Here is a 27,509-nt window from a genome sequence, read left to right on the forward strand (position 1 = left end):
CTAATAAATAGTAGTTGGTTAGGATAATAATAGAATCAGAAAACTTCATATTTGTTTAAGGAAAGTATGAATTTTTGAACTCTTTCTTGTACATTTTCATTTGGTAAAAAATGTATAATGAATTCCATGGAAACATCTGTAGAGAATGGCCAGTCGATGATTCTGTTTCAATATACCAGATTCACTGGTGTCTTTCCTTTGAGCATCAAGCATTCAGGGGAACTCAGTGTTCTCAGCTGCTAACAGGCTAGTTGTTTCAGTATCCTGAAACACTGAATGGATGATTAGTGTATTTGCAAGTCACCTAACTATCCCTAAGGAATAATTGAGAGTTTCTGGGGGAAATCAACCCAAAATCCATTCCCAAATCACTTTTCTAAAGAGCTGCATTATAGAGCTAGTGAGTTCTGTTTGTTTTTAATTTCAGTGGAAAACGGGGATTCTCAATTCAACAGCGGGATGGAGTACAGGATGTCTGTATTTCCCACATTCTGTAGGATAATGCTCTGCAGCCTTCCTTGTAAAAACCTGACCTCTTCATAGGACAGAAGACTCAGAACCTAATCAAGGCATGCTGTCACTGCCCATGTGTGTATCATTAGGAAGGGGAACACTTGCAAATGGTATCCTGCAGGGTTTGAACTATAGTCGATCCTCCTCTGTTTTCGTAGATGGATAAAACCACAGCCTTTCTCTCCTGTTCTCTCTCTTTCCTTCCCTAGTATCCCCAGAATTACTTTCTATAGAAGCAAGATGAAAGCAAGAAGCACGTTATTGCCATGTATTGAGCACCTACTATGTGCTTTCACATATATTATCTTGTCAAAACCTTCGACAGGGTAAGGGTAGAAAGACCACAGGTTTGAGGCAGCCATATCAGATTCAAGTCTTGGCTTCATCAGGCCATGCTCCTTAGAAATTTTGAACAAGCCTTTCATGTCTGTGAAGTTTAAAGATTGTATGAATACCAATGCCTGGAAGCAATCCTTATTATCATCTCAGAGGTTACAGGTAACTTGGTTCAAACAGGTTTACTGACTCCCATTCTTATGTCACCCCACCACAGCCAAACTGCAACTTAGCACATTACTGATGTTCACATTCTTTAACAAAGATTATTCTGCCAGGGAAGCACAACGTGTTCTTCGAACTTCCTGTCTTCCTTTCATAATACAGCTTCTACCTGGCAATGGGCGTTGCAGTCCATTGAACATAAGATTGAAATATCAGCAATGAGGAGACGACCTTACACGTAGGCGGTGCTCATGTTTCATGGCCATTCAGGGTGAAGGCTGATCTTCTTCAGTTCTGGTATTCAATTTTCCCTTGATCTATGTTTGGAGGACTTGTCAAATTTCCCCCAATAGTCTTAACTAAGATAGTTATTCACTGAATGTTAATTACAGTGACTGCTTCTGAGATAAGGGCTTTTATTTCCCAAGATCTCATTACTCAATTTTAAGTGGTTATTTTGATTAAGCACTTTTTCAGAATTTACTGTCTCTGCCTTGTAAACTTTAGGAGTTTCAGGATTTGATGCTATCCGATGACATAGATCCTTTGGAACTAAATCCTCAATTACTTTAAGTTTATTAAATGCTTCATTAGGTGTATCCCATTGGAGGCTTCTAAATTTCAAAAGTTAAATCAGATGATTTAAATTATGTGGTATCTGACAATAGCATGTTTTAACTGCTTGGATGATTGATATTGGAGGGTGAAAATCCAAAATGAATCTCATTCTCAGTTTTTCAATTTTGTGAGATAATAATTAACTTTGCCAATGAGCAATAACCTTTGATTATTGTTCTCATTTCTTAGAGGGTGAGGTCAATGCATCACCTGAAAATTCTTGACCTGATTCCCAAAGGAAAAGGGAAAGTATAGATGGTATTTTCCTCTTATCTGCATATTGTATAATTTTTAAGACTTCTACTTGCATAGACCTCCTGATGTTCTGAATTTGAAACGTTTAAATCATCTTTTTCTTAGCTCTCTCTTTGAGAATTTAAGGGTCTACGAGGGGCAGTTATGGAATTCATGAATGGGAAGAAGACAGCTGGAAAATTTCTCCCACCTCTTGCTTCATTCCAGAAACATTACTTTGCATCAAAAGAGGACGGATAAATCTTTTTGATTTAAAGAGATCTCATTTCCTTATCTCTTACAATGGGCCCATCTCTCTGTAGGAAATAAGGTTTTCACACAGCCAGGTAATGCCTTTTATCTCCCTTTTGACAGCTTCTTCTTCCCTTTTGACAGTTTCTTTTTTCTCTCCTCTCACTTTTATGACATAACTGCATTTTTTAATTTCAATGTTCCTGCTTCGTCATGCTCTAACTGGACTCTCAGTGAGCATCTGGGGCATTGGTAATGGGACATAAAACTCAAATAGGGAAACAGCATGCCAAGAATATTGCCCAGAACCAGTTTATCTTATTGTGTCTGTCTCTGAGACAGAGACTTTTTGGTGTGGTAATGACTTCACTAGACTTTTGTTTACCTTGTCAAAACATCAGTTTTTTCTCAAAATTATATACGCTGTCATCTTTTAAAGTCAGTATCTACAATTCACTTGGCCCAATGTATTCCAAATCACTAATCTTCAACCTCTGACTTATTTCCAAATAAAAATACTTATTAAAATTTGACCTGTGTCTTAAATTGTCCAACATGTATGCTGTAATGTCTGGGGATGATGTGTTTTTATTCAAATGGAAATATTCATCCAATTCACAGCAAAAATTTCTCAGACAAATCTTAAACTGGCTTGAAAACCATCCTCTCTTACATTTTTTTCAATAATATTCTCTTCACCATCCACAGATATTTCTAGGGCTTAAGGTTTAATTCATTTAGGGATTAGGTTTGAAAAAAATGATTGAAATCGCTTGCAAACTTGCCTTACTTTGCTGATATCAAACCATCCATTTATCCATTCATTCATTCATCATCAGTCAGCATATGCTTGGGTGTTTGGATCTGAACCTTAAACATCTTAAAGCCACCTGAGGAAATACAAGAGACTTTTGCTTGATTTCTTCTCTATCTGAATTGAGCAATGAAATGCCAAAGTCGGTGTTGCTTTACATGAAAACTATTTAGTGCCTCTTTAGTGTCATAGCTAGTTGAGGTATTGTACATTTGTGCATCTTAATCGGGGAATCGAGTACTTCGATCCAGTGATTTTTTCTTAAATGTGCGAGCCGCTATGCTGAGTTCGGAGTGTATAAGGACAGATGGTATATACTTGGCCCTGTCCTCCAAATCATTTGCAGTCTGGAGCAAGGAGTTACCCATATGCCCATGTGTGACAATGCAAGATGATAGACTGCGTTGTGTTCCAAGAACTGTGAGAATTCAGAGAGATCTCCAGGCCTGTGGGCAGGAAGAGTCTCAGCTCAGCTGCAGTTGGGACGCCTGTCTTCCTCTGAGTTCCATTGCTGGGATGGCTTTAAAGAGCAGCAGTGGGCTTTGGTTCCTACTGCTCATCTGATTGGCTAACATTTCTCCATCTTTTTCACAGGAACTGCTTCAAATGAGATCTTCCCCATCCTCACTTTGTGTGCTAGAATGTTCTGAATCCCAGAGTGGGTGTGTCTCTTTCTCTTTTAAACTTCAGCTAAAGGGTTGGGTCCCAGAGTTCAACTTGAAATGATTCTGGTTTCTTCTTCCCTGCCTTTGGTCACCTTTGAGCTGATCTACTAAAAACGTCTCCCGTTCTTTATTCTTTATCTAAGTCCCTATAAATTACAAAATATATTACCCCCCCGCCCCCCGATCCCAACCCCTTTCTTCCCAAAAAAGCAGAGAGAAAAACAAAGGTTTGTTTCCCAGAGAGTGGGGTGTATTCCTCAGGGGCCTGGGCTGTGTGATGTCACCCAGGCCCATTTCATCAAGTGTGCTCAGAGGTCCAGGGTAAAACAAGGAAGCCCACATCTTCCCAAAAAGCAGGAATTCTTTCCCATTCCCAGAGTCTGTGCAGTTCCAGCAAGCCTCCACTCATCAGGGGTGCCGGGGTCCCTCCCACGTTCCCACTACGTGGCCATGGCCTGTTCTTCTCCACCTTCGCTGTGCAGGTCACTTGTACCCACAGGTCTTAACGTCTGCAAATTTGGAGCCCTAAAAATGGGCGATTACTGCCTATATCCAGATGGGCTGCATTTCCCTTTGCCATTGACAAGTCAAGGCTGTCAGGGAAATCAGCTAGTGAAGCCAGCCCCTGTGAAGCAGGGAATCTGCCTCTGGTAAGACATGTGAAGGTGCCTCAGCCTCCAAGCTCTAGTAAATGTTGGGATAACATGTGTCCACAGCAATTGTGCAGGGCCAGCCTGTCACTTAAATACACTGGGAACCATTCAGAATTTGGACTGCATCCAGGAATACACCTTTGAGCTATCTTCCCTCTTCCGAGTTCAAGGTCCTGTAATGCGCATGCATGAGGCATCAATAATATATCTAGCACATGTGATAGAAACAATGCATGCTTCTTTTGAGAGCTCATGCGTTCATTTATGGAACACCGTCTGGTTTTCCATGTAATTTTGCTTACAGAATTCGTTTGATTTTTTTTCTTTTTCTTTATAAAAGGAGGATAAAGCTTTTGGCAACAGCTGGAATTCATTCTATAGTTCACATTATGGAAAAGTCAGCAATTTTTTGATGAAATCATGATCTTTCAGACTTAAGACTCTTCTTCTAGACAGCCTGGCAAACATGAGGATTTTTAAGCGGTTTCCAAAGACCTGGCCAGAGTTGGTTTCTGAAAAAAGATGAAAGCAGCGCCCAAGCACATTGCTCATCAAACTCACCACCCCATGGGCAGGGTTTGTCTTTCCACAGCTAATGGATTGTTCTCTCCAAGTTTCTTACATTACCTTTTGAAGCTTATGCCCTTCCTTTCTCTTATCTATTAATATAGATCATTTAGAAAATTGGCCTGCGTGATTCTGGCATTCAAATAGATTCTGTGATTTTTCTTTCTGACAAAGTTAAGTGATTGTAAGTACTGCTGAGAAGTTGCTTCATGGACGTGCCATTAGTCAGAGAAATAATACCTGAGTCTCCATAAATGTTCGGAGAAGTAATATCTGAGCTTAATTGCCAAGGAGGCTCTCCATTCCATCACGTGAGATGCATCTGAAAACATAATCATCCAAAATCTGGTATAACAATAGACCTTGGAAAGCCTCAATACCAGTGGACATATGGCTGTCTGTACATATTTTTACATTCTCAGAATATTCAGACATTTGGAATTAGTCAATGGAATAAACATTTAAATTCACTTTTGTGTCTTACTGTTTATATGGCTTGGTATATTAGGGTCCTCCAGAGAAACAACCAAAAGGACGTATCTGTCTATCTGCTCATCTATCTATGTAGAGAAAAAGAGACTGATTGGGAGAGATTGGCTTACATAATTCACTGAATGCAAGCTAAAGAAACAGGATAACCAGAGAGGTGTCTTCCAGTCTGAGTCTGAGGTGATGGCTGAAGGAGAATGCTGTGAGTCCTGGAGCCTGAAGGCCTAGGACCAGGAGTGCTGATGTCAAATATAAGAACTTAATACTTTAGGTCTAAGTAGACTAATCCAAGATCTTGAGCAAGCAAATTACATGTGTATTGTCATAAAAAGTCTCTGATTAAGGACCCAAGAAAAACCCTTTGAAAACAGACAGAGTATGCAAGAACTGGAGTGTAGTTTCTTTTGCTTAATTTTTAGTTCTTGCAGTTTTTCCTACATGTGAGGCGGACATGTAAGAAGTAGATGTCTTATTACTGGATAATGGAAACACGGATTGGCACGGTGTTCTGAACATGAGATGGGAGAGTGCCCTTGACTCCCTGCATGAGACCCGTGAAGGGGGTGACTCGTTTACTCAGCCACCCTGCTCAATCCCTTATGAGAAGGAGCACACAAGCAGATGGGTATAGGAACCAGAGTGAATGAACGTTGGAACTGGCTGGTGGCTCCTGCGTGGCGGAAGCAGGCTTTGCACGGGCCCTGCAGTAGCATCCAAGTGTGTTACAATACTCTCTCAGCTCTGCCATCCAGGAAAGGGTGTCTGCGACCCCTGGAGCCCCAGAGGGCCTGTGTTACAATCAGTGCTCTTTTAGCATTTGTAGACTGCTAAGTATTAACCAGCTCAGTGGAGGGTCAGGTGACAGCCTTTTACACCCTGCCCTCTTGGTACCCGAGTTCTTGTCCAGCGTCCAGGAATAATCATGTCACAGGAACAAATTGAAGGGTGGTGAACATGGAGGACTTTACTGAGTTGTGAAAGTGACTCTAGTGGGAAAGGGAACTGGAAAGGGGGTGGAGTGGGAAGATAATCTTCCCCTGGAGTCTGGCTGTCCCCAGCCAAACTCCTCTCCAACCATCCCTGGCTGAACTCCTTTCCAACCATAGTCTCCAATGTCCAGCTACTTTTCTCCTCTCGATGTTCACATGCTTCTCTCTTCCGTGTATGTGTGTGTCCACTGAGTCTGAGGTTTGGGGTTCTTATGGGCACAGGATAGGGGGCAAGGTGAGCCAAAAGGCAACATTCTTGCAAGAAAACAGGAAGAGTTCTCACTTTGCGCTGTGGGTCCAGGCTTAAGGGTGGAGCCCTCACCAGGAACCTGCCATCTTCTACCCAGTATTTCCCTGCCTCCTGTTCATATCAAATAGACAACAGAAAAGCAAGAGTTTGAGAGAGGATTTAGGGAGAAATCCTATAGGGGAACTGTTCTGATAGGAGCCATGCAGAAAATAAGGGACAAAATCAAAGATATGGAAGAAGAAATCTCAATGTCCCTGGCCAGCCTATGACCTCAGATTTTCAGGTTCTCCAACCAAGCAAAGACCTTCTGATCTCATGTGTTTCCCAATAGTGCTGGATTAACCATGAAAAATGGTTTCTTAAAGCATAACTCAAACCTACTCTTTAGTAACCCAACCATGTGACACCTGTGTGATCCCTGAGAGCTCAGGTATGAGTGTTGGGGCCCAGGCCCAGGAGCAGGACCCTGGTGTGATGGATGGTGTGGTGGAGAGGGTGCTGTTTGGGACTGACTTCTATTCTGCCTTCTGCTAAGAAAGGTACTTGAACTGGTTCATCACCCTGTCTGTCTCTTCTCTCTGTGTGTGTGTGTGTGTGTGTGTGTGTGCGCGCACTCCTGGAGAGGCACAGAGATGTGTGTTTTAAAGGGGCTTCTAAGGTCTCTCCAGTTTGATATTCTGTGGTCTATGTCAGTCAACAATATATAAGATGAATCAAAGTAAAACCAAATGTCAGCTGCCTGGTAGTCCCTGACTCCTTCCTCCCTCCATTCGTCCCTTTAGGCCTTTGGATTCAGAGTCCTCGGGGCAGTCAGGGGAAGAAGAGGCCATAGCAGTGGTGGACAGAGAGTGTAGGCAGATAAGAAAGTTCAGAGCAGTCGGGGCCTCCTCCCCAGTGTCCTTGAGCCAAGCCTGCCCGGGGCGTCAGCAAGACAGGATATCCACCTTCATGAAGGCTCAAATTTGCAAGTTTTGGGCATGTTTTTCATTGCGAATGTCATAAATAAATGGAAAGTAAAGAACACAAATCATTCCTGAGACACCCCTCCTTGAAAGACATCACTGTAAGCATCTTGGTGCACCCATTCGGTCTCTCCCTCCATGCACAGCTCTGCAAATGCATACCTTCCTAGTGATCAGCTTTTTCTATGTCACTATGTCATCTGTATCCTTCATTTGCAGAGAGTTTCTCCTTAGGTATGAGCATGAACAGCCCACTTCTAATGTGGCAGCTCACATTCTTGAGCAATTATGAATATATCCAAGTGCTATTCCTACTTTCAACAGACTATAAACAAATAATGCTTCTATACTCCAAAGAAAGTTCCTTAGAAATTACAAATATTGGCTTCATTTTTATGGAGAGTGTTTCAAATGGGGTGGTTTCTAAAAGTCTAAAACCTTTTCTGTTGGGAAAACCCTGACTACAAATATGTGTGCATGTGACACACACACAGAGATTTTTAGTTTTCTGTGGCACAGAGACTGAAGGGAGATGGAGTTGTAAAGATTCTGATTTCACTTTCATGAACCTGGGTGCCTACCAGGGGTAAGATCACTGTTTCAGAAATCTTGTGGAAGAGTAACTGAGATGCTCTCTGCATCGTAGGACCCCAGGCCAGCAGATTCAGCATCACTTGGGAACTCCTGAGAAATGCAGATTCTCGGGCCCCCAGCCCAGACCTACTGAATCAAAAGCCCTGGGCATGGGGCCAAGTACTCGGTGCTTTTTTTTTCTTTTTTTTGAGACAGAGTCTCACTCTGTCACCCAGGCTGGAGTGCAGTGGCGCGACCTCGGCTCACTGCAACCTCCCGGGTTCCCGCCATTCTCCTGCCGCAGCCTCCCGAGTAGCTGGGACTACAGGCGGCCGCCACCACGCCCGGCTACTTTTTGTATTTTTAGTAGAGACGGGGTTTCACCGTGTTAGCCAGGATGGTCTTGATCTCCTGACTTCGTGATCCGCCCGCCTCGGCCTCCCAAAGTGCTGGGATTGCAGGCGTGAGCCACCGTGCCTGGCCGTCGGTGCTTTTAATACTACATCCCCGTGTCTACAATGCACAGGAAAGTCGCTTTCCATTGTGTTTTCACCAGGGGACTTCTCTCCAAACACATCCTGTGCAAAGGACACTCACCAGTCCTTGGCTTGTACTCCAGGGAGCCCCCAGAGAGATTTCTGGAATCTCTGGCATTCAGAAGTCACAATGAGAAAATGATTGCCCTGGGGGGAAAACTGCATTTTAAGGAAAACAATAATTCCACTGAATGCAGCAGTTAATTTTAAAGTGGCATTTCAGGGATTGGGATAGGGAAAGGCCCACCTTTACGACCTTTGAAAGGTGAGTGTAGACGCCTTAGTGCATGGGGGTGAAAACTGAAGACAAGGGCTTCCCTGGAGAACTCCCAGGATGCAAGCCTGAGGATCATTAGCGGACCGCCCCCCTCATATGACTTTAATCATGGTAATTTTGTAAAAAGAGGAAAACAATTTCTGTTAACAGAATCCCAAACCCTACTGATCTTTATAGATTAAAGTCAAAACTTTACCCTCAGAAGCAAATTGAAAGCCAAACCCATGATGGAATATGCTGCAATAGGTTCCATATGTTTTTGTCTCCATCAGCCTAGGTCTCTGCGTGTACACCAGGCAGTTTCCGTCCCCCTATGCAGGAAAGGCCATGCCATATGTAAGCATCAGCTTGCTCCCACCACCTTCTCTCAAGGGTCCCCTGTTACTCATCTTTTCTTGTCTTTTTGCCCCAGAGGGGATGCTTCTCTCTAAATGAAATTCTCCACTGGTGCTCTTTATCCCATTATCCACATTTCTTATCATCAAATATACCCTCTTTTTCATTCCATGTCATTCTTCCCTCTCCTTCCCAACCATTCCTTTTTCTTAAATGTGCTCATGCCTCCATAATCTTAAACTCTTCTTTCTCCTACTTCTCTTCTTCCTTCTTTGCTTTTCAGTGTGAAGCCTGTGAATGCAAAATATCTAAGACAGGTCTTGGTCAATTAGAAAGTTTATTTTGCCAAGATTAAGGACACTCCTATGACACAGCCTCAGAAAGTCCTGAGACATGTGTCCAAGGTGGTCAGTGGTGCAGTTTACTTTTGTACATTTTTAGGGAGACATGAGACATTAATCAATATGTGTAAGATGTACATTGGTACAGTCCGGTAAGGCGGGACAACTCAGAGTGGGAGCTTCCAGGTTACAAGTAGATACAAGACAACAGGTTGCATTCTTTTGTGTCCTTGATCAGCCTTCCACTGAATACACTATTTAGTCTGGCTCAGCACTTCTGCATTTTTACATAAACAATAGGGGTGAGGAAGCAATCAGATATGCGTTTGTCTCAGGTGAGCCTCAGAGGGATGACTGACAGAAGGGGAGGCAGGTTTGCCCTAAGCAGTTCCCAGCTTGACTTCTCCCTTTAGCTTAGTAATTTTGAGGTCCCAAGATTTATTTTCCTTTCACAAGGTTTTCATCAATGCAACCCGCACTTCCTGCTTGCGTTCCCACCCAGGGACCACCAACTCATCCCTAGTGCCTCAGTTTCATCTCTGCAACCCACATCTTCGAAGATTCTCCAATCCAGACCCCACCTGGTCACCACATCCACAGGCTCTTTCTCAGCACTTCCTCCCTGGCCTCCCTGCAGCCTTCGACAGCTGGTCACTGCTCCCTTGAAACTTCTTTCCTCTGGACTTCCAAGACCTGTTTATTCCCATGAATGCGGATGTCTAACAAGATCAGGGCCCTCCTTTCTTTGTATTCTCCCTTAGAGTGATGGTTTATCGAATGCTTTTCCCCACCATCACTACCCAGGAAAGAGCTTGTGTCTTTTCGCGTGAATCTCTGCCTCTATCTCTGTTCTCTCGTCAGTCCTACACCTACGGTGGCCTGAAGGGCACCTTTGCTTGGTTTGCCCCATTGTAGCGAATTCACACTGTCTTGGCAACAGGGGTCATTTCCCAGTTACCTCAAAGACTTCTCTGGGCTTTTTACATTCAGGCTTGATTTTTTTCAAGTTACCCAAGAATCTCTGATCATTCATCTTGCTCTCCCTGTTTCTAGTCCTTTCTTTTCCCCACTTCCAATAATCAGTTATCAGATCCATCTTAACACCTATTCTCTTGAGCTTCCTAGATACATAATCATACCACATAAGCTTTCCCGTTGTCATAACTTTCATGCGCCCTATATTCTTTTAATTTTGTCAAATTGTGTCAGCCAGCATCTCCAAAATAATTTTAACTTATAATAATTTTTTTTATTTCTGACCTTAATGGGAATATTTCTAATGTTTCCCATAATGCTAGCTTCTAGGTTTAAATAAACATACAAGTACCTATATTTATATATGTAGATACAGATATACACACATAAACACACAAACTCATACAAATATTCAGATATATTGATGTGAGTAAATATCCATCTGTTGTCTGTTTCATTAATATTTTTATAAAAAATAGAGGGTAAATTTATGAAATGCTGAACTTTATTACATTTATGGAGTTTATGTTTGTCCTTTAATCCATTACATGGTGAAATATATTAACATATTTTCTTGACATTGAACCATCCTTACATTCCTGCTATGAATCATTATCTGGTGATTTATTTCTTTCTAATATGCTACTTGATCCTGCCTTCTCTTAATTTATTTAGTATTTCTCACATTAATACTCCTAAGTATTATTGAGCTGTAGTTTTCTTTTGTGTGCTAAAATATACTACATTAATTTCTATAAGTGTATTTTTTATGCTCTGGAACAATTTAATAGCTTTGGTGTTAACTATCTCCTAGCATTTGGTAAAATATATTTGAAGCAGCTGAATCTGCTGCTTTTTGAAGGAGTTAGATCTTTGATACATTTTTATATTATTATGTATGGTAATTGGACTACTTAGATTGTTTATCCCTTCTGGAATTAGTTTTTCTAATTAAGAAAACCATCTTTTTAAATGTATTATTTAAAATTTAATTTTATATATTTGAAAAGAGTATCCCATTAGATTATTTTCATTTCTTCTACATGTAAATATTTTCTTATTCTCATTTCTTATCTTGCATGTTTGTACTTACTACTTATATTCTTCATGAAGTCAATGTATCAGTGACAGTTTCACCAAAAAAATAGAAACCTTTCTAGGTATTTCACCAAGAAAATAGAAACCTTTCTAGGTATTTCAAGCAAGAAGTTATTTAACACAGAGGATTTGTTGTTTACAAAATAAATAGAGAGATTGAAAGAGTAAAGGCCAGACATCTGTAGCTCTCAGAGTTACTCCGGATTTTGAAAAGTCAGAAAGTTGCAGAAAATTTTAGAGATCATTGGTGATGATTACAGATAATCCAGCACTGGAGCAAGTGATTCCCAGGAAAATGCTTGAAGATGGCCACAGACCTTTGCATCTGCCAAAGCCCATCCTTACATCCACTGCTTCCAGAGATGGGAGCATGTGGCTTCTCACTCCTCCACCTTCCAAATCTCATGCTAGTGCCTCTGATTAGTGGGATCTAACTGAAAGCTTCACAGATATGAGAGTTAGAAAATGTACTCCTGATTTTTAGAACCTGTGATACAGAGGAGAGTGTGAAAGAAGAAGGTATGCAAAGTTGTATGTTATTATGTTCAACATATTGACCTCTGTTTCTAATATATTGACTTTTGTTTCTATATCAGATCCCTCTTTCTGCTTTCTTGGGCTATCCTTTATTTCTAACATCCTAATTAAAAATATCTGGTTCACTTATTTTTATTCTTACTCATATATTGACATAAGTATTTAAGGCCATGAATTGTCCTCTGAATACTGCTTTAGCTACATTCCACAGTTTATCTTTTGTAGCATTTTCATCATTATTTTCTTAAGTAAGTTTTTTTGGAACCTGCTACCTGATCTTCTTTTTGCTCTATTTCTGTTAATTGCTAAAACTTTCAAAGGAACACTTTACATTCCTCTTTTATTTCCTAATTATATACTTACCTTATGTGCTTTTCATCCATCAGCATTCTCAACTGAAGATTCTACTGTCCCTCATAAGAAGCATTTGGAAACCCATGGCAGTATTTTAGTTGTCATGATAATTGGGAGAGCGATGCTACTGACATTTACTGGGCAGGATCCAGGGAAGCTAAAAGTCTTGCAATATGCACTGCTGTGCTGCATAACAAGGAATGTTGTTGCCTAAAATGCTAGTAATGTCTCATTAAGGAAAACAAAAGATTTCTAAAGTCACAGCTAAGACATAACTGGCCAAGGCAAAACTTGCACCTGCATTGGATAAACACAGTGTTTTTCATTGAGTTTTAAATTTTTTTACTACATTGTTACTAAATTATCACATGACTTACTAGATCCAGACTTCCCTGTTATCCAATTAACAGGTAAATTTCTGGGACTTGGACTTGGGACTTTGCCCACACTGAGGCAGCTCAAGAGTGAAGCTAAACAAATGTCTCCAATAAGAAAGAAAACTAAGGACATTAATAAAGCCAACTTCTGTTTCTATTTCAAAGCAAAACAGATTCCTTATTTGCTTAGTTAAGAGACCGTACCTTGTGCAGAATCATCAATGATCATAAAGGCATGACTCTTTGTTCAGACTTGAACAGAAGGTTTGAATTTCACATGTTTTTAATTTCAAAACAGGAAACCAAACTGAAGCCATTATTTATAGAATCACACCTCCTAAAAAGCCGTAAGAGTTTGGTTAAGAATTAAAAAATGGACTTTAAACTTGAAAAGTAAGTGTAAGGAAAGGAACAGATTAATTTTCATTTGTATTCATTAGACTTCTAACAGTTTTAGAAAAATAGTGTGGTTATTCAGTATGTTTCTTATTTAAATCGGGTTATCATAACTATTACACTTAAGGAAGTCCGTAAGATTTTCTGCAGAACATTTTTAAACAAACATTTGTTTCTTTTTCTAATTTAATAGTCTCTCAGCCCTAGTTAGCAAGTGGAAAGTAGGTCCATAAAACATCTTCATATTGCATCTCAACATTAATGCATGAGTCAGTCATTGAAATTGTGCCCCAGTTTGCCCTTAAGTAATACATAAAGAAAAGAATATCCCCTATTTTGATAATGTTTGGGGGGATAAGTATTAGTTAATCCACTACTAACTTGTCCAAGCTTATATAACAGAATTATCCAGTGGCTCAAAAACTACTTAATAAGTGAAGTGACAAACTAATCCATGCATGCTACTGAAATTATAACAATGAATAACACATGCACTCTGCCCCCAAGAAATCTGTTCCAACAGATGACACACAAATGTTAACAGAACCTTATAATTAGAGTCACCATGTAATGCATTACTGGGATGCAAACTGGGATGTAATGCAAATTGCGACGTAATGCAAACTGCAACGTAATGCAAACGGCAATGTAATGCAAACAACTGGGATGCTTTGAGAGGAAATGATGTTACTGCTATCATTTTTCAGGGCAAATGTGCATAAAGCTGAGCTAGCCGGACATGAGCTGTTTTTATTCACAGCACTTCTGACACCAAATTGGTGGGGTTTTTCCACACTAACAACCAGTTCTCCAATTCTCTAGATGCTGGCAGCTTGGTGTCCTACAATTCAGTTCAGTTCTGATACTGACTACCTGGAATTAGCATCAGACTCCAGAGGATTAAGAGCTCAATTCCCCAAGACTTTCCTCCCCTCAGATGCCAGTTTCCAGTCTTGAGTCTCATGGGTACCCACAACTTGCCTACAAAGTCAGGGGTTCCCACAGGCTTTCCCTTTCAGGTTTGCTAATCTGCTAAAATGGCTCATAAAACTCAAGAAGCCACTTGATTGACGATCATGGGTTTACTACAAAGGTTACAAGTGACAAAGAGTTACATAGGTCTTGAGATCTCGAAGGGTCCCGAGCACAGGAGCGTTTGACCCCTTGGAGTTGGGATGTGCACCCCCACCATGTGGATGTGTTTACCAACTACCAATCTCTCTGAACTCCGTCATTAAAGAGGTTGAATGACATCGGAATGATTGATTGAATCATCCGCCGTTAGTGATTAGCCAAGTCTCAAGCCTCTCTCCCCTCTCTGGATGTTGGTGAGGTCGGGGAGTGGGGACTGAAAATTCCATATTCCAGAGATCACAGGGGTCTTAGGAGCTGTGTGTACTAATGACACCTGGGTAAACTCAAATAGAAATCAATGGTGGCTTCTAAGACTGCCCAGAGCAGACTTACACTTCTCAAAGTGTAGTCCTTGGTCCAGCATCAGCAGTAGCAACTGAGCCTTTGTTAGAAATGCAAATTCTAAGACCCAGCCACGGACCTGCTGCAGCTGAAATCCAGAAGCACAGCCTGGCACTCCGTGTTTTAATGAATGAGCCCTTCCAGGGTGCCCTGATACCAACTCAAGCTTGAGAACCGGTGAGCCAAGGAATCCAGAGAAGCAGGTGTTTGAGTTTGATTGAAAGGGATGAGAAGAAACCTGCTGGCGAAGCCCACAGGCATGGCTGTAGAGGACAGCACTCCAGGTGGAGAGAACAGCAGGTGGATGGTCCTGGGGAGTCAGAGGACATAGGAGAGGTTGCAGGGCAGGGTCACAGCATCACAGGCCTAGAAGGGCAAGGCTGGGAAGTCCAGAGCTGAAACACAGAAAAAATAGGCTTTTAATCTGGGAGTGGCAGGAATGTGTGCATGCATATGTATATGTATATGTATATATATATATAATTTTTTTTAGTATTTATTGATCATTCTTGGGTGTGTATGTATATTTTTAAAAGGCAATGCCATTTTTAAAAGGACATTCATTTGTTGGAAAACAGAAGCTGATCCAGAACAGAGTGCTGCTCTCCCCTCCTGAGGGCAGGAGCCGTTGTGAGGCCTTGGCTATGAGGCATTTGGGGCACATTGTTGCCCACCCCTCGGTACCCGTGTCCATGCTGGGTGTGACGTGGTGGCTCACAGAGATGGTCCACTGCTATCTCAGGGACACTGACAGCGATAATTTTCTGGGACATCACTTCCTTTCACAGTGACTTCCACTCTGCGGCCATTTGGGTTATCGTGCACAGCTACTGTGAATCCTGTACACACCTGTGCATGTCTCTGGCCTGCTGAGTCCCACCTGAGCTGCAACTGAGCCTTGTCCAGCATCACTGATGGGGCAGGATCCTGTGACCACTCAGGCTTCTGCAGATTCCACTTCTGCTCTCATCTCCAACACAAGGACACATCTGTTGAATCGAGGTTCAGGCAGCTGAGCATCATAATTCTAGAAGCCCACCCTGTTTACTGTAAAAAGTATCTGAGACAGGTCTCAATCGAGTTTATTTTGCCAAGGTTAAGGATAGGCCAGGAGAAAGGAATACAGAATCCCAGAAACACAGTATGTGGTTTGTGCCTTTCTCCAAAGATGATTTATTTTGAGAGCTTCAATATTTAAAGGGGAGAAGTGGGCTAGAGGGGAAAGAGTAAGGTTATGGTCCCACTACTGAATCCACAGGTTGCAAGGGAAAAGGAGCAGGCAGGGAATCATCAATTGAGTATTCATCTCACTCAGTAAATCGGCACTGTACACAAGATAAGGTGAACATGCAGTAGCTACCAGTGGGGATGTTTAACCTTGTATCTGCAGCTTTCTTGTTAGGAACAAAAGGAAAGGCAGCTTTTTACATAACTCAGCTTTCAGCTTCATTTTTCCTTTTGGTGTAGTGAATTGGAATCTTGAGTTTTTATTTTCTTTTAGCATTACTCTCACCCCGCTGTGTCATCCCCTTTCAAAGGCTGCCCTGAGCAGCTCCCTCCCCCGACCTCCACTTCTCCTGCCTGGGGGGACTTTGGACACTCAAAGGCCAATCCCAAATCCATCTTTGATTTTCCTAAATTGATCTTTTAGAACAGATGTTGAATCTACAGACTTACCAGAGTGCTGGAAATATTTACTTGTATTGCCTTTCTGTTGCCCCAAGGGATTGAGGTCCATCTTCAATGGACGCCTCCTTGGCCCTCTTGCTTTTAGTCTGTAGTGGTTTAAATCTTGTACTTTCATAGAAATATTCTTCTTCAAGAGGCTGAATATGTTAAAATAATTTTCTTACATTTCCAGAGTTTAAATCTTGTACTTTCATAGAAATATTCTTCTTCAAGAGGCTCAATATGTTAAAATAATTTTCTTACATTTCCAGAGTTTAAATCTTGTTCTTTCATAGAAATATTCTTCTTCAAGAGGCTCAATATGTTAAAATAATTTTCTTACATTTCTAGAGTATATATCAAAGTCATTTTTAAATAACCTATTCCTGATCAGAGATCACTAAAATCAGAGAAATAATTGCAAAATTCACCTTAAGGGAGCACCATGTGCAAACCACTTACCTGGGTTAAATATATAATTCTGCCAAGTTAGCAGAGAGATGACTGGTTTTACCAAACTGTGAGGGTCCTATGTAACCACTCTTTCTGCTTTATCAATGCTCAAAGGGCTAAACCTCAGGAAATGGGTGGTTTGGGGCTTAGAGCCATGAGCTCCGACAGTGGCTCCTGCTTTGGAACTTAGGAGAGCTGCCCTCCTCTTTACACTTGAGAAAACTGATACTGTACGGAGTGCAACTTTCCCTTCTGAAGGGCCCCACTCCTTTTGACTAAGAAGCCCCAAAATGTCCAACTGGTTTTCAGTGTATATTTTAGAGACTTTCAATTTTCCTTAAGTCAGGAAGGGTTTGACTTCTGTGGAACTGGCATGAGGGATTTTTGTGCCTCGTGTCTACAGTCTGTCCCTTTGCTCCTCTGAGACAATCTCTTTGTTGTATTTCCTTATGAGCAAACTCTGAGTTGTCCGAGTCCATCTGAGTTGTACACGGCTTGGGCTGCAGAGGAGTGAGAACAGGTGTTCCACCCAATCCACAGGACTTCTTCATCGGTATTTCCAAGGGGAGTGATAAAATCACTCTTAGATCTGAATATATTGTGTGTTAATATTAAATCAACACTGGCTGGTTCTATTTATTTTATCCCCTACTGCATCAACTCGTTTGAGATAGGGTTTCCCTCTATCATACAGGCTGGAGTGCAGTGAAGTGCCATTTCGTCCCACTGCAGCCTCTACCTTCCAGGCTCGAGTGATCTCCCCTCAGCCTCCTGAGTACGCGGGACTACAGGTGCATGCCGCCATGCCTGGCTAATCTTTGTATTTTTTGTAGAGATGGGGTTTCGCCACATTGCCCAGGCTGGTCTCAAACTCCTGGACTCAAGCGATTCACATGCCTAAGCCTGTCAACGTGCTGGGATTACAAGTGCGAGCCACCATGCCTGGCCCTGCATTCACTCTTTAATATCATTCCTCAAAGTGTCTTTTAGTTATAGCCTCTTTTTTTTTTTTTTTTTTGTCAGAGTCTTGCTCTGCCACCAGGCTGGAGTGCAGTGGCACAATCTCTGCTCACTGCAACCTCCAACTACCTGGTTCCAGCGATTCTTCTGCCTCAGCCTCCTGATAGCTGGGAATACAGGCACGTGCCACCACGCCCAGCTAATTTTTGTATTTTTAGTAGAGACGGAGTTTCACCATGTTGGCCAGGATGGCCTCAATCCCCTGACCTCGTGATCCACCCGCCTCGGCCGCCCAAAGTATCTCTTTTTTATTGTGGCAAAATATATGTGAAATTTGCTATTCTCACCATTTTTGAATGTACATTTTACTACTATTAAGTACATTCACATTGATGTACAATCATCACCACCATCATCTCCAGAACTTTTTCATCTTCTCAAATGGAAACTTTCTGTCCATTAGACATTAGCTCCCAACTCCCCCTCCTCCAAGACCCTGGCCAGCATCATTCTACTTTCTATCTCAATGAATTGACTATTCCTGGTACCTCACTTAAGTTAAAATCCCTTTGGGATAAATTTAATTAATTGAAATATTGAACAAATATAGGAATGTTCACAAAGTCTTAAATAGATAGAGGCTGAGAATCAAACAAACTTCTATTTCCATTGACTTCCTTCTATACAACACCTAAGTCATGATTGTTAAAGTTAGCCTTTCAGATTTAGCTCTGTGCATTCTCTGGTGACAAACTGCTTGTTAGTTTGTTGTCTATGTTTCCTGCTGATTTATTACTGTTTCTTGTTGTCATCTCAAGTGGAAATGTGGAACAGGTGTATTTAATATTGGTGTTTCTGCTGAAAATCCACTGGTGTTTTCAACTATGGAAAGAGTAGAAAAGAAGCAGGTACATTTCAGCAAATGTATGATGACATCAATCGCAAAACAAATGTTGACTTTAAAGATGTTAATATAAAAATATGGAGGGAAAATATGTGCATCTTAGAATGAATGAAATTCACGAATTACAACTTATGAAGACAGGTCAGAAAAGTGGAGTATTAATAGTTGGCCAGTTGGTCATTAACACAAACACATGCCAGTATGGCTAAGATTCTTTGAAAGAGATTTTATTAGCTCATCATCTGCCTTTTACTGTGGGGCATGCATGTGAGTCTTTATTCTACATTTCATCCTTGCCTGCAGGACAGATGACCGTGAGAGAGGGCTGCTACAGAGACCTGAAGTTTCAAGTAAATATGTCCTTCTGCAATCCCAAGACACGACCTGTCACGGGGCTGGTGCCTTGCAAAGTATCTGCCTGTCCTCCCAGGTAAGAAGCATCGCGTTCATCAAAGCAGGTTTCCCAGTTTGCAGACGTGCTCAGCGAGTCTTGCAGCTCCTGATTTCGAGAGAGAAGTGCTGATTGCCATCATGTCACTCATAACAGTGGAGAAGCAAAGGGGACAAGAGCTGCCTGGACAAGGGACCTAGAGAGTGTGTTTAGGCGGGAAGTGGTCTGGAAATTCTTGTGACTGTAAGTGGACATTCTTAGAATGGCGTCCTGTTTGTTGTATTTGTGCTTTAATTGGTTGCAGGCTGGCAGGAGTGATAACACGCTATGGTGATAATGATGCATTCTCTCTGCTGTCCTGTCCACTAGTGTGTGCTTTTCTTGCTGAATGAAACTTGCTGGAAGAACCCATCACAAGGCCTGCCAGTGGGGAAGGAACCCTGGATTCCTCAGTGCCTTGCAAACATACAGCTGTGAGGACTGGAGCCACAGAAAGCCAGGGCTCTTGTCATCCACTCTACCCTCACTGCTACTGCCCCTAGGAGTTCCTAAACCCAAGCTCGGGTTCTCTGAGGCAGGAGGTGGGGAAGGGCCCCTTGAGGCAGCCATGGTCCTGCTGCACTGTCAGGAGCCATCACGTCTGGGCAAGGCCTTCATCCCTCTGGTCTTCATTTTCTTCATCTTTACATGGGACATGTCACAGAAGGTTGTGAAAACCAAGGCAGGATTTTTCTCAGGCTCTTTGCTGGACTCCCAGCAGGGGTGCCTCTCTACTTGGCCTCCTGAACTCAGCCCCTTGTGGGAGGGAGCATGTGAGCAAGTGAGTACAGGATCCAGCTGGTCACTCTGAAGACACAGGAGCAAGCTCTGTGCAGAGCCCACAGCCAGACCAGGCGTGTTGCCTGGAGGGGAACACAGTGGCACCCAGGCAAGGGTGCCCGTGACCCCAAATCCCCAGAGGGGGTGTTAATGTGCTAATTAGCTCTTTTAGTTCCATCATCCACAGCCCAATGGACGGAGGTGTGTTCGCAGCTCAGTCAGCCCCTGACCCTGTAGTGGGGGGCAGCTGCCCTCCACCAGCGGGGGCAAAGGGCCAGCCTTTCTGGTACCCACACTCAGTGGGCCCCGAGCTCTTGTCCACCATCCAAGAAGAATGAGGTCATGCTTGACCACTGAAGGATGGTGAGGGCGGAGAATTTTATCAAGCGATAAAAATAGCTCTCAGCAGAGAGGGTAGCTGGAGAGGGGATGAGAATGGCAGGTCATCTTCTCCCAAAGTCAGCAGGTCTCCTCCCCCAAGTCAGGCCATCTCCCCTCTACCAACTGAGCCTGGGGTCTTTAGAGGCACAGGATGGGGGCCGGCCAGGCCATATGTACTATTGGAAAGGGCAACATTTGATTGCTTAAAAGGCATTATTGAGAAAGAACCAATCGGAAGAGAGCAGGCAAACAGGAATGGAAGTTCTCGCTCTGGTCTGTGGGTTTCAGATTCTTTTTGGCTTGAAGCTGGGGTTTCACAGGGGACCTGCCCCTGTCTGCCTAGGATTTCTCTGCCTCCTGCCTCTATTAAAAACCACCTGAGATCACATATTTACAGAATGAAATTCTAACTCCAACTAGATCTTTCAAATAGCTCAAGGCACTCAAAGACTTAATACAAGATAATCTAATACATTTTGATAAAGATCCACAGTAGCTGGCAAATTGATCCCAAGTTTGCTGAACTATGGATCAAAAGCATGAAGCTGGGTACTCTCCCCGAGGCAATAAAATACAGGAAGGTGGGAGGCACCGTCTCTTTTTGTAGGTGTTACCCCTGGTCTCTCTCTCAGTAAAGAGAAGGAGGTCACTTACCAATATTTGAAGGGCCAGGACCCCTCTTGCAATCACAGTAAGGAGGACACCTCCTTGGGAAGATCTTGTCCTCCCAGCACACCTGCCCCTGATGTGATCGGGGACCTGTCACCTTATAAAGCCACCAGCCCTGCCTCAGCCACAGTTCCTGAACCACCACTCCCCACAATCTGCTATCAAGAGAGAATTTACACAAGAAATTAAGTGCTTAAGATGCAGCACACTGAGGCATGGGACACCCTCTGGGGGACCTTCCCAGTGTCAGCCAGGGCCTGTGGAGTTGATGGACACACACGACGATGCTCCATGGCCCTCACCTGTCCCTGAGCCAACCCTGTGGGCCACTGCAGGAGAGCTGGCTGCTGGCCTTTCCCACCCAGACAGGCCTCCAGCCTATGCTGAGCTCCATGACAAGAGCACAGCCCACTCATCAGGGGCTCCCTCTGTGCCTGGAATGACACACCAAATGCAGACACACCCTCATCGTTTAGGAAATAAACCCCATGGCTGGCTGAGGCAGAATGTAGCATGGCACAGTTGTCAGCAAAAGTGATCTTCCTGTCCGAAGGAAATGGAGGCCCCTTGCTGAGTTGTGTCAAAGACAAACAAAGCCAAACACTAGGTAAGGTGGTCAGGACAGATTTTAGTCAGTGATCCCTGCTGCAATAGGGAAAAGATTGTGGCCTGAAGTGAACTCACCTTCGATCAGCAGAGGGACTGGGCATTTTACAGGGAGAATAGAAGAGCGGGAAGGGGCTGAACCAGGGAGAGCTGGGGAGGTGAAGAACTGCAAAAAGCGTGAAGAAGGGTTGGTCCTTGTGGAATCTCGGTTTGCCAACTGGCGGTCATAGAAGTGAGGCTCCCACCTTCCCACAGAGCCTGGGAGACAGGGGTCCTATCTGCAGGTGTCAGCCAGAACAAACAGGAAATTCTTTGGGAAGCCTTGAGATTTCTCAGACAGGCACTTTAAGAGGGGCTGGGGTTATCTTAGGGATGTAGCCTTGAGCTGTTAGAAACCATGTTGGTGTTTGTTCATGACTTTATAAGCCAAGGTGAGGCCTTGTGGTAAAGTGGGCTCAGAGGAACCTGGCTAGAGTTTGGCCAAGGACAGAACATTGTCAACTGCTGCACCAACTTGACCTCACACCCCCTGCTCCCCGGACAGTGGGGTCTGCTTGTGTTCCAGTTGGTGTTGACATCACTGTAACCTTGATTGAAGGTCCTTGCCTTGACATATGGAAGTTGGGAGCATCACTTCCTGTGCTGAATTCCTCTTTCCATACTGTGTTTAGTCCAGGTTTCTTAAGGGAGAAGCATCTGTGATTCCTCAAGGCACCGAGTTACCAGTGCTATGAAGTGGGGAAACCAGTAAATTAGACTTAAAGAAGTGTGTGTGTGTGTGTGTGTGTGTGTGTGTGTGTGTGTGTGTGACTTTCACATGCAGGAGGGACTAGTGTTACTAGTTCCATGTGGAAGTAAATCCATCAGGATGTTAAATCTCAGGGTAATTGGAAATGTTGAGTGCTTGAATGCTATTTCTCAAGCTAGTCATGTTAGTGGATCAAGCATACCCTTGCAGTCTAGTCAGCCCTGGTCTACTCTGTGAAGCCCATCTAGAGAGAATGCTAGAGAAAACTCACCCCAACACAGGAACAAGCTACCAATGTCTGGGCTCCTAATTGTGTGCTTTGAGGTATCACATAATTCAGATATGAAGTGATAGTTGGGACACCCCTGAAGAGGCCCCTTTGCATCTGCAAACCCCACAGGACCAGGCATAGAAAGCAGGAGAGCTGGTGACCCCAGGGCAGCAGAGAGAAGCAAAAGCAACGGCAGAGTGGAGCAACTAAGTCCTTTCCCTAGGACGGGCCTCCGCCCTACCGCATGGGGAGAATGCTGGCAGCTGCTTCAGTTCTTTCTTGGAAAGAGCAGAAGAGTTCATTTAAATCACAGTTGCCCATTGTTGCAATCTGCTTGTTGGTTGTTTGTTTTCTTTCTTGCCGCCTCCCCCATACTGCCCAAAGGGACGTCCTACTTGACACTCACTGCAAGAGGAAACCTGGGATTTTGGGGATGGCCCCAGTGGGAAGGGAGCTCTCCTCCTCCTGGGGCTACTCTTCCTGGTGTTACCCATACTTCTTCTTCAACCAAACCTCAGGTAGAACATGCTCAACAGATTATGTGGCGCTCGTTTACTGTCACTCTTAGTGGTTTGCTGTTTCTATATCATCTCACCCTGTTTTAAATCTATCAAAACATCACTTTCCAAGCGAGACCATAATACAATTATTGAATTTCAGTAATGGAAATCTAAGCAGTCTTATGTTGTCAGGCAAAATTGCCCTTACCACCAACCATTATCCAAGAATGACATCCTCACCTCTTGTATTCACTTAGATAAATCTTTGTTCCTGGTGCAGAATTTTCATACTAAATATGTGGGAAAATCTCTTTGGAATTGAAACTGGAGGAGCTCCCTTTTCCCCCTCGCAGGGTGTGCGATGAGGGCGTGGCTTACTTCTTTGGTGGCCCACTGCTCAAACCTCTAGGGGGAGCGGGCAGATGGGCAGGTTGTGGGGCTCCGACCCCACAGCAACGTCTAAGGGTGAATGTTTACAGCTCCTGAACTCCCAGTGGGCATGTGTTACGGTGTGCTCTTCTAAGTTTGTCGTCCCTGGGCAGCTTGTGTTAATCAGCTCAATTAGACCCTTTGCCTTATCCCGAGGACAGAGGGCTTTCTGTATCCTGGGTTATCGCCTTGGTGTGCTGGAAAAATTGGATCACACATGGGCTTGGAGAATGAGTACAAGGTTTTATTGAGTGGCGGTAGCTCTCAGCGAGGTGAATGGGGAGCCAGAAAGGGGATGGAATGGGTAGGTGGTCTTTCCCCTGGAGTTGGGCTGCTCCACAGCTGAGTTCTCCTCCGACCGTCCCAGACAAACTCTGGTTGATGGCCTGCCGGCATCTGCTGGTGCCTGTCAGCGTGCCCCTCTGCCGATGTGTTTCTCTCGATGTCAAATCACTTGTGTGTTCTTCCACCAATATGTTTCGCTCGACGTCCAGCTGCTTGTCTATGTGCTGGCTAGGGCCTCAGGGTTTTTATAGGCCCAGGATGGGGGCATAGTGGGCCAGGGTGGTCTTGCAAAATGCAACATTTGGCCACGAAAACAGAAATGTCTGTCCTCACCTAGGTCCATGGGCACAGGCCCGAGAGTGGAGCCCTCACCAGGGACCGCCCCCTTCTCCTCCCAGCACTTCCCTGCCCCGCTCCCATATCAGAATCAGATCTTTGCTTTGTCCACTAATACATCCCAATGGATGAGAATCGTGCCTGGCTCACGTGGGACCTTAATAGGTGTTCGTAGGAGACACGGATGAACCATGGTCCCATTAGGCCAGGAAGAGACACTTCAGGCTTGCGGTGTGGCCTTGGGGAAGTGGCTGCACCTCTTTATGCCTCAGTTTGCCTGGCTGTGAGATGACAAAAAGAAAATGTGTGCAGTCACATCCCAAGATTATAAGCTCTGTGACCCCACTCTCCCTTGGGGCTGTTCTGTAGAGAAGCTTGACAGATCCTGTCTGGATTGCCACCATTGAGAAATAGGCACTACTCAGACATCACAAAGCTTCTGGAATCAACTGTTCCTTAATACATCTAAACCACATTTGTATGTTCCCACGTATCTCCCATGTAAAGTATCTGCCTCACGTCAGCCTCCTTCAGGAGCTCCCCTGGGAGGACCCCAAGATAGGAGCATTTGCGGTATCCTTGACTCACCGTACGTAGCACTGCAGACGAAGGTCTCATCAGACGCTCGGTCACCACAGCTACTGCAACTGCGACTGCTACTGCTGTGGTCAGTTTGTCAACATTAAATCCACCCGTGGGATCCTTCCAACGCACCTACCTCTCTGTTCCTTGACTGTCCATCAAATGGTCTCCCCTGATTCGGTCTCTCACGCCTGCCATCAACAATAACTGCCCAGAGGTATCCCTCAAGGTCCATTTCTCCTTCCCGTCTTTGTTAATAGAAGCCGCTGCCCCATACACTGCATACATCCACCTGCACAGGGATCCCGACTGGACACTATTTCTGTCCTCCCAGGCTAAGGTCTGGCCCATGGGATGTGAGCCTATGCCCTCCATGCTAAGCCCTCAAGAGGCAGCTGCTCCTTCCTCTTTCTCTGCCCACCTCTGTGGCTGCAGCAGGTCCTGGCCTTAGTGAGCAGCTGCAGCCCCTCAGGCAGGGGTCACCTTCTAGGGGAGTAGAGGGCCAAGACGGAGGTAGTCGAGCCTGGTGACCTGGAGAAGGACTGCGCTCCCCGACCCCACAACTGCCCACCAGCTCAGACTCGCACAAAGGGAACCGCTCCCTCCCTTGTTAAGCCATGCCTGCTGGGTCTAGTTGGTGCAGCTCAGCCACATTCTGAGCTCATACACACCTCACCTGTGACCTCTCGGTCCTTAACACCCCTCTCCAGACAGGCCATGCCTCTTGTCATGCAGCTCCTATGCTTCAAGATCCACACTGAAGTTGTCCTTCTGTCTCACTGCATGGCTGATCGTCCCACCGCTCACTGCCCAGGACCCCGGAGCCCCCACCCAGGCCAGAGGCTGTGGCAGTGCTGGAACCCTCCCCTCACCAGCACCTGAGCTGCCTTGCTTCACCCTCGCTCCCCTATACTACCCTGGTCACCTCAGCCTGGATACCCCCAACTCTTGACCCACTGTGCACATGGAGCTCAGCAGTAAATGCTACCCCCAAAATCCCATGTTATCACTCTAAAAGTGTGGTCACCCAAGGATGGTACACAATCCTTACACCTGCCCCTGGGTCATTTGCTCCCCACCTCCCAGGACATTGAGTTCACATCACCTGCAATCTCCTCCATCTCCCTGCCCCACACTCTCCACCTGGGACCTCAGACTAAAGAGAAGGAAGCAATGACCAGCCCTTCCTCTTGCCAGAATCTCCCTGTGCCTCCAACCCCGCTGCTCTGCCCTCCCTCCCATCACAAAGGGCAGATGGTCCCGAGCCTCTAGAGGAGCCTTTGGAAGTTACTATTTTTTCCATATAAGTGACCCATTTCGCCCAGTGGTTCCTGTTGTTTTTCTGGCTGGGTCTCCTCTGCCTCCACCTCTCTACGCTTGGTCTTTCTGGTATTGAGAGATTTGGAGCTGAAGACATCCCTGCGTTCTGCTGTGTCCTATCTTCTACACTTGACTCTCTCAAACACGGTTTAATACACACATGCTGTCAAGAGCACTGTGTGCTGGAAGAAAAGGTGCAGTTCAGCAGCAGAGGGCCAGTCTAGGGGAAGCTGGAGCTGATGTGTCCTACAGCAAGTAGAAACATGAGACTGAGGCTGCCCCAAATCCACTTCAGTCAACCCTGGAGCCCTCCATCCGATGGCACCCTTTGACATGTGGACCTCCTATTTTGGAATGTTCATATTGCCCTCTGAAAGGGGAAACTTTGAGACAATACAGAAGCCTCTCTGTGAACCCAATGCCATGCTTTCCTGCCTGGGAGAATCTTAAGGAGAACCAAGTGGATCTCCCCGTCCATCGCCCACAAATAGCCAGGGCCTGATCGCACATGGAGCTTAGTAAATTTCTGTCTCACAGGAGAAACAAGATCTCCAGGCTCCCTTCCCACAACTCTCCTGCACTGGAATTCTTTCTATGGAGTGGTCTGGTTGCCATGGGTTATGTCCATGGGCCAGAGTCAGACAAAGGCGCTGGGCGGCATTGCACCTTGTCAAAGGTGCAGCCGTGACACTGCCTGCCTCCCTGGGCTCGACCCTGCCTTCCCCACTTCGGGCATGATCCAGGTCTCCTGTCTCCTAGGATAAGGTGAGGATTCCACGTAAATGCTCTCAGGTGTGATAAACACTCACTAAATCTTGGCTATGATTATTGTTGCTGTAAAAGGAGAAAGAAATTCACAACAGTTATGAATTTAGTCTATAAAGCAAAACTATCCATGGCAAAAACACAGAATAATGGACCTACATGGCATATGTCAACCCTTGGGGATTGTTGTTTCATTGTATGATTTTAACAATTGAGTTGGGAACATAGATTTTAATTTAAAATGTTGCTTTACTTTTCTTCTGAAATGCAAAATATATTTCTATTATGTCCTGGATACTAACAATTTTTTGTTCCTGATTAAATGTTCAGGAAACCCATGTTCCGTTTCTCTGAGGATGGAGTGTGCATCTTTCTTACTGAATTCTGCCTCCCTGAGAGGCTTCCCTGGCCTCTAGGCTGCAGGTACTCCGAGCTCTGTCCTCAGCAGCCTGGCAAAGCTGGAGCCACAGCCCCGAGGGAATAAGCCGCACTCTCCTTCCCCACAGTTCGTGCTCTGTCTGACACTAAGTGGGGCTCAGTGGGGTGTGATCTGATGTTTCATGTTCAACTTGAAGGAGGGTTCCACAAGGATTGAGGGGTGGAACCTGTAAAACATCTTAATCCACAGCCTTATCACTT

At 44.4% G+C, this 27,509-nt stretch overlaps 1 protein-coding gene and 1 long non-coding RNA gene across 5 annotated transcripts in view; one reads left to right on the top strand and one right to left on the bottom strand.

Annotated features, from left to right (window-relative positions):
• ADAMTS16 (ADAM metallopeptidase with thrombospondin type 1 motif 16) overlaps positions 1 to 27,509 on the top strand; it is a 179,975-nt gene that overhangs the window by 103,256 nt on the left and 49,210 nt on the right. For all 4 annotated transcript variants that reach the window (NR_136935.2, XM_047416874.1, NM_139056.4 and 1 more), the window contains one exon: positions 19,072 to 19,198. Coding sequence is in view for 3 of the 4 variants with exons in the window: in XM_047416874.1 (XP_047272830.1) it covers positions 19,072 to 19,198 (127 nt within the window). In the remaining variant the exon portion in view is untranslated. The remainder of the gene's footprint in view (positions 1 to 19,071; positions 19,199 to 27,509) is intronic.
• Positions 14,965 to 27,509, bottom strand: part of LOC101929200 (uncharacterized) — a 163,580-nt gene continuing 151,035 nt past the window's right edge. Inside the window, exon 6 of the long non-coding RNA XR_001742583.3 lies at positions 14,965 to 15,178. This is a non-coding gene — a long non-coding RNA (uncharacterized LOC101929200). The remainder of the gene's footprint in view (positions 15,179 to 27,509) is intronic.

Source organism: Homo sapiens, chromosome 5 (assembly GCF_000001405.40).
Source record: "Homo sapiens chromosome 5, GRCh38.p14 Primary Assembly".
NCBI classification, from domain to species: Eukaryota; Metazoa; Chordata; class Mammalia; order Primates; family Hominidae; genus Homo; species Homo sapiens.